A 13697-nucleotide genomic window follows, 5' to 3' on the forward strand; every position below is an offset into this window, starting at 1 on the left:
ATAAGAGAGGACACAAACAAATGGAAAACATTCCATGCTGATGGATAGGAAGAATCAATATCGTGAAAATGGCCATACTGCCCAAAGTAATTTATAGATTCAGTGCTATCCCCATCGAGCTACCATTGACTTTCTTCACAGAATTAGAAAAAAAAACTTTAAATTTTATGTGGAACCAAAAAGCCCGTATAGCCAAGACAATCCTAAGCGAAAAGAACAAAGTTGGAGGCATCACGCTACCTGACTTCAAACTATTCTACAAGGCTAGAATAGAACCAAAATAGCATGGTACTGGTACCAAAACAGATACATAGACCAATGTAACAGAACAGAGGCCTCAGAAACAACCCACACATCTACAATCATCTGATCTTTGACAAACCTGACAAAAACAAGCAATGGGGAAAGGATTCTCTATTTAATAAGTGGTGTTGGGAAAACTGGATAGCCATATGCAGAAAACTGAAACTGGACCCCTTCCTTACACCTTGTACAGAAATTAACTCAAGGTGGATTAAAGATTTTAATGTAAGACCTAAAACCATAAAAACCATAAAAGAAAACCTATTCAAAACCATTCAGGACATAGGAATGGGCAAAGACTTCGTGACTATAACACCAAAAGCAATGGCAACAAAAGCCAAAATTGACAAATGGGATCTAATTACACTGAAGAGCTTCTGCAGAGCAAAAGAAACTGTCATCAGAGTGAACAGGCAGCCTACAGAATGCGAGAAAATTTTTGCAATCTATCCATCTGGCAAAAGGCTAATATCCAGAATCTACAAAGAACTTAAACAAATTTACAAGAAAAAAACAACCCCATCAAAAAGTGGGCAAACTTCTCAAATGAAGACATTTACACAGCCACTTTATGCAGACACTTCTCAAATGAAGACATTTATGCAGCCAACAAACGTATGAAAAAAAGGTCATCATCACTGGTCATTAGAGAAATGCAAATCAAAACCACAATGAGATATCATCTCACACCAGTTAGAATGGTGATCATTAAAAAGTCAGGAAACAACAGATGCTGGAGAGGATGTGGAGAAATAGGAATGCGTTTACTTTGTTGGTGGGAGTGTAAATTAGTTCAACCATTGTGGAAGACAGTGTGGTGATTCCTCAAGGATCTACAACCAGAAATACCATTTGACCCAGCAATCCCATTACTGGGTATGTACCCAAAGGATTATAAATCATTCGACTATAAAGACACATGCACATGTATGTTTATTGCAGTACTATTCACAATAGTAAAGACGTGGAACCAACCCAAATGCCTATCAGTGATAAACTGGATAAAGAAAATGTGGCACATATACACCTGGAATACCATGCAGCCGTAAAAAAGGATGAGATCATGTCCTTTGCAGGGACATGGATGAAGCTGGAAACCATCATTCTCAGCAAACTAACACAGGAACAGAAAACCAAACACCACATTTTCTCACTCATAAGTGGGAGCTGAACAATGAGAACACAGAAGTGAACATGATACGCTGAGGCGTGTCGGAGGGTGAGAGGCTAGGGGAGGGATAGCATTAGGAAAAATACCTAATGTAGATGATGGTTTGATGGGTGCAGAGTCACAAAGTCATGAAGCAATCTCCCATATTTAAGGACCTGTAGTTAGACATTGCTGGGTGGGTAGTCAAGAACAAATAAGGCAAGAAAGGTCTACTTCATGAAAGACTTTCTTTGTTCCTTTTTGTTGTTGTTGTTGTTGTTGTTGTTGTTTTTTGTTTAAGGAGGGAGGGTTGGTGCAGTCATGGCTCACTGCTCAAGCAATTTCCCAGGCTCAAGCAGTCCTCCTGCCTCAGCTCAAGCAATCCTCCTGCCTCAGCCTCCTGAGTAGCTGGGACTACAGGCATGAATCTCCAAACCAGGCTATACATTTCTTGTAGAGACAAGTTCTCACTATATTGCCCCGGGCTCATCTTGAACTCCTAAGCTCAAGTGATCCTCCAGCCTTGGCCTCCCACAGTGCTGGAATTACAGGTGTGAGCCACTGTGCCCAGCCATGAAAAGGCCTTCTGTACAATTATAAGAAAGTTAGATTCTCAACCTTTTTTCAACTTTAAATAATTAATCTAGTAACATCATCTTAAGATACATGATAAGCAGGTATTTTTTGGACTGTAGACTATCATACAAATTGCAGATTATTTCCTTGCTGTATTTCAATGCAGGAACAGAAACCACTGCAGATATTTTACACATAAGAGGATTTAACACAAGAACCTAGCTGTTTAAAAGAATGTTTGGAAGGGTACAGACTTACTGAGTTTTAGAACGTATTGCCATAGCTTCAATGCAGGGAATAGGAAACAGGGCTGCTTTCATGATTACCACCTCTCACCACATGAAGCTCATGAGCAGACTTGGAACACTGTGTTTGGTCCCCACTGCTGCTGCTCCATAAGTGTCTTCTACTGTTCAGATCTCTGTAAACATCCTTGTCAGCAGAGATAGCAACAGAAAGATAGTCTCTGCCTCACTTCTGCCTACACATTTCAAACACATCCAATTAGTAGAAATGTAATATCATCTAGAACCTTAGCTGAAAGAAGTATGTTTTAGTTTTCCAGTATCTGCAGTATAGAAGGGCATATAGGAGGAAGTGCAAATCCTGTAATCCCAGCACTTTGGTACTGAGTACCAAGTGACCAAATCCTGCACACTGTGTATCTCTACCCTTTTTTCCCAGATATAGGTACCACAAAATGTCACTGAATATGGTTTCACTAAATATGGTTTAAGAAGCATTATGGTAGAAGGGAGGAAGCTATTAGAGTCTTTCAAGTAGATAATGTGAACTTTCTTGGCTTCGAAAAGATAACTCTTGTGGCAGTTTAGAATGGATTTGACGATCAATGATAATGGTTTAAATTAGGCTCAGGCCGTAAGGATGGAGAGGGAGTACGCTGGGAATGTCTGATTGTTTTATTAATTACTATGATAGGTTCCCATATTTTGTATGGTTTTCTTGCTCATTTAATAAAGACTTACTGAATACTCATTAGGTGTAAGATATTATGATATTTGCTGAGAATATAAATGTGATGACATTTTCTATTATGTTGGGTTAATCTAATGGTTAATTTCAACATTACTTAGGAAGCTGTACATATTCTTCTGTCAAAGAAAATTGGTAATAATAAAATCTTCCAAATTTTGTGCTTGACTACATAATATTTGACAGGCTGCTGTCACAGCTAAATATTATAGCAAATAGGATGTATGTGTTACTCCCTAGTACTTAACATTATAGATATCTTAAATTCCTTAAGCAAATACAGAACTGTCATGTTCCCAGTAACATGATTTGTAAGATATGTTTAAGTCAAGTGCAGTATAGGGATTTAGAATACAAGTTGTATTCTACAAGAATCCCCTCAGTGTGCCACTAAATACAACTTGTATTTAGTGGCATACTGAGGGGATTCAACTTCATTATCTGTGTATTTCTGTTACATTGTTTCAATCATTTTCTTTTCTCTTGGTTCAGCTTATCCATTTTAAGGTAACTTTTCAGTCTCAATTTAATATGCTGTTCTTATAATATTAAAATAAATAACCTTATTAGTGTTTCCTAAGTTTTAGTGTTTCTTAGGTGGGTTTCAACTATATATATTATTAAATGTTACTATTTTCAGTACAATTTTATGTTCTACTAATAGACACCAGCACTACAAAACTTAACTTGGTCTCTTGATATTAGTAAAAGATGTACTTAAAAATATGAGTCATTGTTATTTATTATCATTAATGATCTATATCACCATAAAATTAAAAAATAATCTTTAAGAAAAACAAGTGAAGAGTTGATTTTGATCCACAGCAGTATTTCAGCTTCATGAAACATACACTGTTTGCATTCCTGAAAAGTTTTGTTGGGGTCTTGTTAACTCTAGAACTATAAGAATTTATTTTCCTATATGTTTTTATAGCTTTATTTTAGTTGAGTTTATTTTATTACTAATAGGTCAATTTTCTATTTCTGCATAGAAGAACAACCCCAAACTTAGAGGCTAAAATAACAGCCATTTTGTTGGCTCATAGTTCTGTTGGGTCGGCAACCTGGGTCGGCTCAGCAGGAGTGCCTTCCCCTGAAGTCACTTACACAACTGTAGTTATCTGGCTGCACGACTAGGTTGGATGATCTAGCTTGCCTTACTCGTATGTCTGGTGGTTGGTTCTGGCTATGGGCCAGGCCAGGGTCTCCAACAGGCTAGTCTGGGCTTCATCACATGGCACTTGGGTTCTGAAAGCATTAAAAAAGAGACCAAGCCCCTCTTCCTTGCAAGTACTTTTCAAACTATGCCTGTGGCACAACTGCTAATAATTCATTGGCGCATGCAAGCCACACGATCAATCCTAGAGTCAGTGTGGGAGGGGAATGTAATCTGAAATCTTCTACGTTTGAAATCTGTTTGTCTCAAAGCTGTTCAGTGCCATTTGTTTCATGACTACTTTCACTAAAAAATGTTAGATTTCTATTGCATGTGACTCAAACATTTCCTTAAAAAAAGATTTCTTGTGGATTACTTTCTTAAAATTATTAAATAACGATACCTTCTGTCTTGTCTGTCTCTCTCTGTGTACAAACATGCACACGCATAACACATAGTTTTTTGTTTTTTGTTTTTTGTTTTTTTGAGACGGATTCTTGCTCTGTTACCCAGGCTGGAGTGCAGTGAGTGGATCTCGGCTCACTGCAAGCTCCGCCTCCCAGGTTCACGCCATTCTCGTGCCTCAGCCTCCTGAGTAGCTGGAACTACAGGTGCCCACCACCTCGCCTGGCTAATCTTTGTATTTTTTAATAGAGACGGGGTTTCACCGTGTTAGCCAGGATGGTCTCGATCTCCTGACCTCGTGATCTGCCTGCCTTGGCCTCCCAAAGTGCTGGGATTACAGGCGTGAGCCACCGCGCCCAGCCCATAACACATAATTTTAAGTGCTCTAACACATTACTCCTTTTAAGTAGTCAATATATTTTTAAATGTATTATATAAAATCTTTCATATTATTTAATTATTTTATCATTTAAACCCTCCATAAGGTAAGGATTTTAATATCACTGGCATGGTATTGTTTTGTTTGGTTGCAACTGGAAGTTTAGTTTTTTCACTCTTCTGTTCCTACATGTTCAGAGCCATGACAATTTGCCAGTTAAGAAATTCTTGAGTTCATTGTGATTTAAAAAGCATTAAACTTTTCTCTCTTCTCAGTTTACTTAAATGATGATGGTAGTTATAGAGCAGAGTAATTTTTAAGTTTGGTGGTGCTTTGTACAAATACACTCCCATTATTTATATATTTTTAAAAAAATATATGAGTCATTCTAGAGACCTTATTAAAGTGTTGGTGCTAAACTAGTTAAATGAATGTTTAAGTTTCTTGTTAATGTATTAAATACTAAATATTTTGTTCTTCTCACTTCTGGAAAACATAGTGATGCTTAAAATATCTCAGTCATGTAAGTTAGTTTTACAGTTGACTGAGGAAAAAAAATCTTAGGATGATAGCTAATATTGAGAAAGTGAGCCTTGTGAGTAACAAAGTACTATCAAATCATTTTGTTTATACAGTAGACATGTCTATACTTGGTTAAACTTACATAAATTCTTTAGAAAGAGACCATTATCATATAAAACACTCAACAGAAATTACAAGTAGATGAAGCTTAAGTAATTATCTAACTGAACATTACCTCTAAGAAAGAATGAGAATGAGTTGCGTGTGTATTTATTTGATAAGTGTTTTCATCTTGAAAATCTCTGTAATAAAATTGTGTGTTAATGGAAATACAAAATATTCTGTATGCTTTGCCGAGTGCCTAATGTTAGTATTGACAGGCTGGCAGTCATTATTATCATTTGTGTTATTTTAAGTGCTATTTATTTAAATTATAAAGTCTTTTCTGAGAGACGAAATGGGGGGGTCTGTAGGAAAAAAAATAAGCATTATAGATTTTCACAAGATACCTTTTTTTTTTAACTAAAAATAAGTGCTATGAAAAGGACAAGAGAAAAAAACAGGACAAGACGGTATTCATTCTTTGCCTTGAAATTAAATGAGCCAGTATGAAAACTGTCTGCAGTTGTCAGAATGATGAATTTTAGCAAATGCATGTAAATTATTGTAATTTGTTAATGAAGGCCTGCCATATCATCAGAACATAGGAAGAAATAGTTCAAATATATTTCAGAAACATTGTCTAAGACTGAGTACAGGTGATCTCAGTCCTTCAAAAGGCCCACAAGTTAATGAGAAAGATGGACCTTGACAATCATATAAGGCAAGCCTGATAGAGATACAAAAGTATCACATCAGTTTAAATGCAAGTGGTATTTGAATTGAATCTTTGAAGAGAAGAAAAATATCAAGGAGGTGCATTTTGCCTGGAAGGAGTAGTAACCACAGGTACTGAGATGGATTAATGTGCTTAGTAATGCCTGAGAAACACAGTAGTACTCAGGGGTGATGTAGATGTTGAAATCATAGCTTATGGCCTAAAGGGTAAATGTGTGGTATGCCCAAGGTTACGCAGTTAGTGGAGGACAGCCAGATTTGAAACACATTCTAACTTCAAAATTCATCTTCTATCGTGCCATGCTATCTATTTGCTGTAAGGCCTTATGTTTGATGTATAAGCTGAATTAGCATAATTAAATATTAGTCACAATGAATAGATAAATCTGATGATTATATACCAGTTTTGCTGTTCCTGAATTATATATCATAATCAACCCTCTAATGCAATTAGTAAAATTTGCCATTTTTCAAATTTCTTTTTTGAGTATATTTTTCTCTTGCAGGGTTACATTTTGCCATCTGCCTTTCCAGAGTAAGTGGCTCTATGTGGGCACTGAACGAGGTAATATACATATTGTCAATGTGGAGTCCTTCACACTCTCAGGCTACGTCATTATGTGGAATAAAGCCATTGAACTGTGAGTTTGAACAAATATTTTGTATCTGAAAGCATCAGTTCTATATATAATAATACCGTTACATCATAGCCAATCAGTAAATCTGTATGGAATTAAATATGTGACAGATGTTCTTAATATTAAGTACAGATTTATTAGTTTTTTATGAGTAGTATTTTGACATGGCAATTTGTAAATTTAAATTATGCATATGTATATAGAGATATATGCACATTACATATGTATATATTTACATTTGTGTACACTGTAACACTAGTTTAAGGAAACAGTCATTCCTACTAATGAAAATCATCTAATTTTTTCTGTTCTCTTATCTTCTAATTATTTTTCTTTCAAATGATGGTCATGACCCACAAATGAGTTGCCACCAATGTTTGGAAAACACTGATTTAAACTACTACTTGATATGTTTTAATAATCATCAAATATAATGTTTGCTAAAGTTAATATATTATCAAATTAATTTTGTTTGATTTTACTTAATTTTGATAAATTTTTACTTTTTGATAAATTTTATAAATAATGATTGTTTTCATTTACTAATATTAGTAACAAAAACTAGGTTAAACTATAGGGCCCTAAGGATCTTTAGTGCTAACTCTTCACTCTGTCTTAAATTTTTTGTATCTTATCTCTTTCTACAAGTTTTTTCTTACATTTCTGGGACATAAAAATCAAAGTTTAAGGATATCAGCAAGACCCTTTTGAATGTTTCTTTTTGATTTTAAGCAAATAGTGTTGTATTGTTGCATTCCATGGTATTTACCTCTTTTTGAGATAAGGATAATTCTGTGACGTATCTCTTAAGTCATGTGTTAGTATAGCTGTAATAGTGTATTAATCCTGGTTTTTCTTCTTGTAGCAAGAATATTATCATATATCAGTCCTTTGGTAGGGTGGGTTTTCATGGTCTGTTCTTTGAATTGATCATGACATCTACTAGGTAGGCCTAGTGCAGGTGTCTGTATAGTTTCACAGATGGCTCTCATGAAATGGAGTGATCTGTCAAACTTGGGAGTTTCTGAATTAGGGGTATGCTTATTTTTACTCTATAGGCATCAGTTCAACCATATTCTTATTTGTAGAACTTCTTTTTCTCTGAGCAGATATAGGTGGCATTATTTTTTTTTTAATAGAATGTTTTTCTATTTCTATTGAAACTAAATGGGATGCCTAAATTGGAGGCTAGAATTCAGTAAAATAAGATAGGTGCTGCATTATTCAAAAATAGTAATTTTGAGAATTCTACCTTGACAATAGATTTCCTGTGCTCAAATCTTTGACTAAATTGAAGATTCTTTCCTATGCAGAAAGTGTACTTAATTGTGAATTTTGCTTAGTTATATGAGTCACCACTTCTTCCCTGATCCCTATTTTGATCCATATTAAGAACTATATGCCTATTATTTATCTCTTGCTGAAATCCTTTCTTTCTTTATAAATATAACTTATTTTCTATTTATTTTTATTGGAATGAAATATGTAGCCATATTAAAATTCTTAACTGAAGAGAAAATCTTACTAACTTTTTCTTTTTTAGGTCATCTAAATCTCACCCAGGACCTGTGGTCCATATAAGTGATAATCCAATGGACGAGGGAAAGGTAGAATTTTTTGTAAAAAATTATATATTAAATGCACAAATTTTAGTATTTTTCAATAAACATGCTATTTCAGGATCACACTTATTACAAATTGAGATTACCATTGAAGGTTGTGTATCATATACAGTTAATGCTTATTATTAATTATTAAGAACAAATGAAAGAATTAGAATCATTTACAATTTTAAAGGACAAAACAATACCTTAAAACATAAGTCAAACTTAATGCATATAATTACAGGTTATTAATTTATATTTGGCTTATTCAGACTGTTTTCCCTGATTTTCTGTTAATCCTGGTAAAAAGTTTGCTTTTGGTTTTTGGCTTCTTTTGAACACTTTGTACAATTTTTGTAGCACTAATCACAGATTGCCTTACGTTATAGTTGTCTTGTTACCTCATCTCCCCTAAAATTTTTTGTCATAAATAGTTCTAATTAATAATGTAGAGTTTTTTTTAATGTTATTTAATTTTTAATACTCTGAAACCAGTTTCATATAATCAGTATCTAGCTATTGTTAATTTAGATTATTTAAATCTTTTAAAATAATAAATATTTTTGGATGAATTTTTATTTTCTATTTCAAACCAGTCTTTCAGATAGTTCTATTTAATAATGATGTTTTTCTACCTATATAATTTTATGATCTTAAGCTAAGTAAATACCAGGAAGTTTATTGCTATCAGAAATCAGTAAAGTGAAACCTCTGGATTTTGTGCAGGAGTTTAACCAGGGTTTTCATTTCCTCAATTGTGGGAGAGGTTGAGCTGATATATTGTTTAACACTGTTCTCTTAGTTTGCCATTGGGTAAACAAAAGGATAATTAGACCGTTTGGAGTTAGGTCATAATTATAGCATTGTTTTAAAAGCCAAGCCTTTCAATGGGAGGCATGGTAGGAGAGTTCAAAACTTCCTTTCCATCTCTAATTGGTCATCAAGTCATTTTAATTCTTCCTGTGCCTTTTGCTTTTCTTTTTCTTTCTTTCTTTTTTTTTTTTTTTTTTTAAATTTTTTAATTTTCCTAAAAGTCTCACTATGTTGCCTAAGCCAGTCTTAAACACCTGGGCTCAAGTGATCCTCCTGCCTTGTAATCCCAAACTGCTGGGATTATAAGCACAAGCCACTGTGCCTGGTTTAGACTGCCATTTTAATCTTAGTGTTCTACTCTTTCAAAGCTTTCAGTGGGTCTGTAGTATCTAACAAATAAAATCAGTTTTTCTTGAAATATAGCCCTAGATTTCCTTATTTTTCAGGATATCTTTACCTGAATGTTGTGCTGAAGCAAATAGTTGTATTTTCAGTTATGAACTGCTCTTTGATGTTTCCATACCTTTGTTTAAGTGAGTCCTTCTGTTTGGAATTCTCTTTCCATCTCTCTGCTGAATTCCTATCTACACTTTAAGGCCCAGATTAAATATTTTTTGTTTGTGATTTCTTCCCTGATAATCCTGACAGAAAATGCTTTTTCTTTCTTTCACATTTATTAGTACTTTAGTTATGAAATTTTATGGTATTTATCACATAATGCTTTGTATTAGAAATGTGTGCATATCTCAGCTCCCCTGAATTTGAAACTCGTTAAGCACAAAGGTAATATTTATACAGGTTTCTATTTGCCATAGCATCTAACTTATAATAAAAATACCAACTGCTCAATATACAATTATATGGATTATATATATAATTCATTCCATAAATAATGAGGATGGAGTAAATAAGTTATATATATATATAAAATTTAAAAAATATTAGGGTGCTAGAATAAACTATATTATCTAAACTTTGGTTTCTTTTAGACTCTTTCCTGTTTGCAAAGAACTAGACATTTTGTCATTGAAAAATCATGTAAGGTGACAGGGCAAGTTCCTTCAATGCTAACCTTACCGGTGGATACTGCCACATTAAGTGAAGGTCTTGGCCAAGGAAGGTTAGACATTAGATAGGTTAGACTTATGATAGGAATAGCTACCATTTATTTAATTCTATGTTTCAAGCACTGTGCTTGCCACTTTATATACACGATTTCATTTGATCTTTTCAACAAATTGTAAATTAGAAATTTCCCTTACTTTACAAATTATAAAGCAGAGACTTGGTGACATTATGTGTTCCATAGATACAGAGCTAGACTTTGGCGGATCTGAGATTTGAAGACCAATTTCTTTAATTTCAACCCAGGAGTACTCTCTGTTATGCTAAGCTTTCTTTCTAGATACAGACTGGTTATATACGTTGTAGAGAAATGTATTCATATTCCACATACACACTAATGCTTTTTCAAAGAGAAAAATTAGACGGGAATTAGTCATTAGTATGTAAGCTAATTAACATCTCTATGGGTTATAAAAGATTCTAGTAGGAATAAGCATTGAAGAATTTCCAATTTTAATTAAGTACTCTATCTTTAGTTTTCTATTTTTAAATATTTATTATTCTCTTGCTTTTGTAAAGAAAGGAATTGAAAAGCTGGAAGATTATGGGCATAAAACTCTAACCTGTTGTCACATATTTCTAATATCCTTAGAATACTAGAGCTGGCTAGAGAGGTTAAAGTTTAACCCTCTTAAGTTATTAAGGTCTGGATAGATAAAATTATTTCCTTAAAGTTATATGGCTATTAAGTGGCAGATTTAATACTAGAACTCAGGTTACTTAGGTCCTAAGCAGTGCAGTGCTGTTTACAGTGTATATCAACCCTTACATTTTATTCTTTTTCTTCTCTTTCCTTATTCTCAAATGCTGTATCACATGTCCAAGATATTTGAAAAGACTGGGAAAAGAGAGAGGAAACAAATACCATTTTTTTCCAAAAGGTGTATGTATCTCAGATTGCCTAGGAAAGAAGAGATAAGGTTAGAAAAATTGACTGTATTCTGTACTAAAGTAGGAAAACTTATTTTGTTAGTTTTGATAGTTAGTCCCTCCAGCTGCCCCTGTACTCTGAAATCTTCTAAATTTGTCCTATTAAAATTACTGGTTCTGCCCAAATTTTGTTTATATCCCCAGATTACCCAAACAGATATAGACTAATCATTTTTCTAATTATTAAACAAATATTTATTGTGTGTCTACTATGTATTAGGAAGTGTATTAGATATTAGAGACATATAGATGAAAATGCATGGTACTAGTTTAAGAAAAGGAGCATCTTAATTTGTCTAGAGGAACTGGGTAGACTTAACCAGGAAGCAACACTGAATTTAGACTTAAAATATTAGTAGAGGATTGCTTATTGAATGAAAGGGGAGGAGGTTTTAAGCAGAGGAAATCTCATACTGAGATTTGGAAAATACTGAGGTGGGGCCTGGGGGTACACTGTGGTACACTGTGGGCAGCGTACATAGTTTGTGAGGCAGGAACATGCATTCCATTCTGAAATAGATGCATTTCATAAGAAGTATTTATAACATACCTGGCCCTGTGTGTTACGTTAGAGGTATTGTGGTAAACAAGATAAAAACTAATCCTTGCCCCGATATCCCGGTTTTACAGACTGCACGATAATTCAAATAAGGAAAAGTCCATTATTATATTGTGTGGTGATCCTTCGAATTAAAAAAAAAAAGTACAAAGTGTTATTGGAGCACATAGGGAGGGTATTGACTTACATTTGGTAGGTCACAGAAGGCTTCCCAGAGGAAACGATCACTAAAATGACATCTGAAAGATGAGAAGGACTAGTCAGGCAAAAAGGATGACATTCAAATGGAGTGGCCCAGGTAGCGAGGCAGCATGTACAAAGGTTCAAAGGTAAGAGAGAATATGAACTTAAGAATATACTGTAATGTATTGAGTGGCCATGGTATGGTAAGGGATGGAACTGGAGAGGTAAACAGAGCTCATACCATGATGGAACTTGTAGGTCATATTACTGAATTTGCAATTTATCCTAAAAATAATGGTGTGGCATTTAAAAGTTTTAAACAGAAGCATACATTACCCTGTTCGGTTTGTATTCTAGAACTCTTAACTCTAGCTACAATAAGAAATGGGTTAAAATAGGAGCAAGACTGGAGTCAAGGAGACCCGAAAAGGAATCTTTGTGTCTTGAACCAGGGAAGAGGCCCTAGAGATGGAGAGAAGTAAATTAGATAATAGGATGTAACTTAAATTTACATGGTGATTTTACCTGTTGGAGGAGAGACTAGTTAAGAATGAGCTCCGGGTTTCTAGCTGGTGCCACCGAATAGACGTGATAAGGAATGGTGAGAGACACTGCAACAGGGAATTCCAGAGAAGCAGATTAGAGAATATAATTAATTCAGTTTGGGGCACATTTACTTTGAGGCTTTTGTGTAGATAAGTGGAGATGTGGCCACTGGAATTATGTGTCTGAATCTCACCAGAGGGATGTAGGCTGGGTATGATTTGGAACTAATCAATATATAGTTGGAATAGATGAGATTACCTCATAGTGTGTAGAATTTGAAAAGTTTGTAAACTTGAAAATACATACAAAAGTTTTGAAAAGACTTCAAAATGGTACTGTTTTTGTTTTCAAAAGTCAGTTGTATGTTGAGTCCCTAATCATCAAAGACATATAAATATGCCATACAGTGTTCTCATTTGTCATTTACGTGATTACTAATTAGCAATGCAGATGTTTGTTTATATTATACATTTATACTCAACGCATTTGAATGATAGTAGTTATTTTCATTGTCAGCAAATAAATGTTTTATAATTGATATCATTCCTAGGTAATGTGCCTTTTTCTTTTATCACAGCTTTTGATTGGCTTTGAATCTGGAACAGTAGTTTTATGGGACCTCAAATCAAAGAAAGCCGACTACAGATACACATATGATGAGGTAATATTATTTTTGCTAGTAAAAGCTATGGTCATTTCTCTCATATAAAGCAGTTTCTCTAAAAACTTAATTGGTAATTTTACTTTAGGCAAACTTTGTAATTGCAGTAATACACAATTTATTTTTTACAATAGATAATATGTTCACACAATTCAAAAGATAACAAAAATCTTCTTCCCACCTGCCATTTGGTTATCTAGTTTCCTTACAGGTAGCATGTTACCAGTTTCTCTCATGTTCTTCCAAAGAGACACTGTGCATTTACAAGCAAATTCATAAATATATCTTATTTTTTCTTTTGTACGAATGATAGTATA

General features: G+C 34.1%; 1 protein-coding gene across 15 annotated transcripts in view; it reads left to right on the plus strand.

Annotated features, from left to right (window-relative positions):
• Positions 1–13697, plus strand: part of STXBP5 (syntaxin binding protein 5) — a 186057-nt gene that overhangs the window by 49371 nt on the left and 122989 nt on the right. For 14 of the 15 annotated variants that reach the window (XR_007059202.1, XR_007059201.1, XR_007059203.1 and 11 more), the window contains exons 5-7: positions 6828–6962; positions 8503–8566; positions 13297–13380. Coding sequence is in view for 12 of the 15 variants with exons in the window: in XM_047418197.1 (XP_047274153.1) it covers positions 6828–6962; positions 8503–8566; positions 13297–13380 (283 nt within the window). In the remaining 3 variants the exon portion in view is untranslated. Of the gene's footprint in view, positions 1–6827; positions 6963–8502; positions 8567–11326; positions 12320–13296; positions 13381–13697 lie in introns of those variants that run through there. The other variant, XM_047418200.1, reaches the window with a different exon arrangement.

The sequence above is a fragment of the Homo sapiens genome, chromosome 6 (assembly GCF_000001405.40).
Source record: "Homo sapiens chromosome 6, GRCh38.p14 Primary Assembly".
NCBI classification, from domain to species: Eukaryota; Metazoa; Chordata; class Mammalia; order Primates; family Hominidae; genus Homo; species Homo sapiens.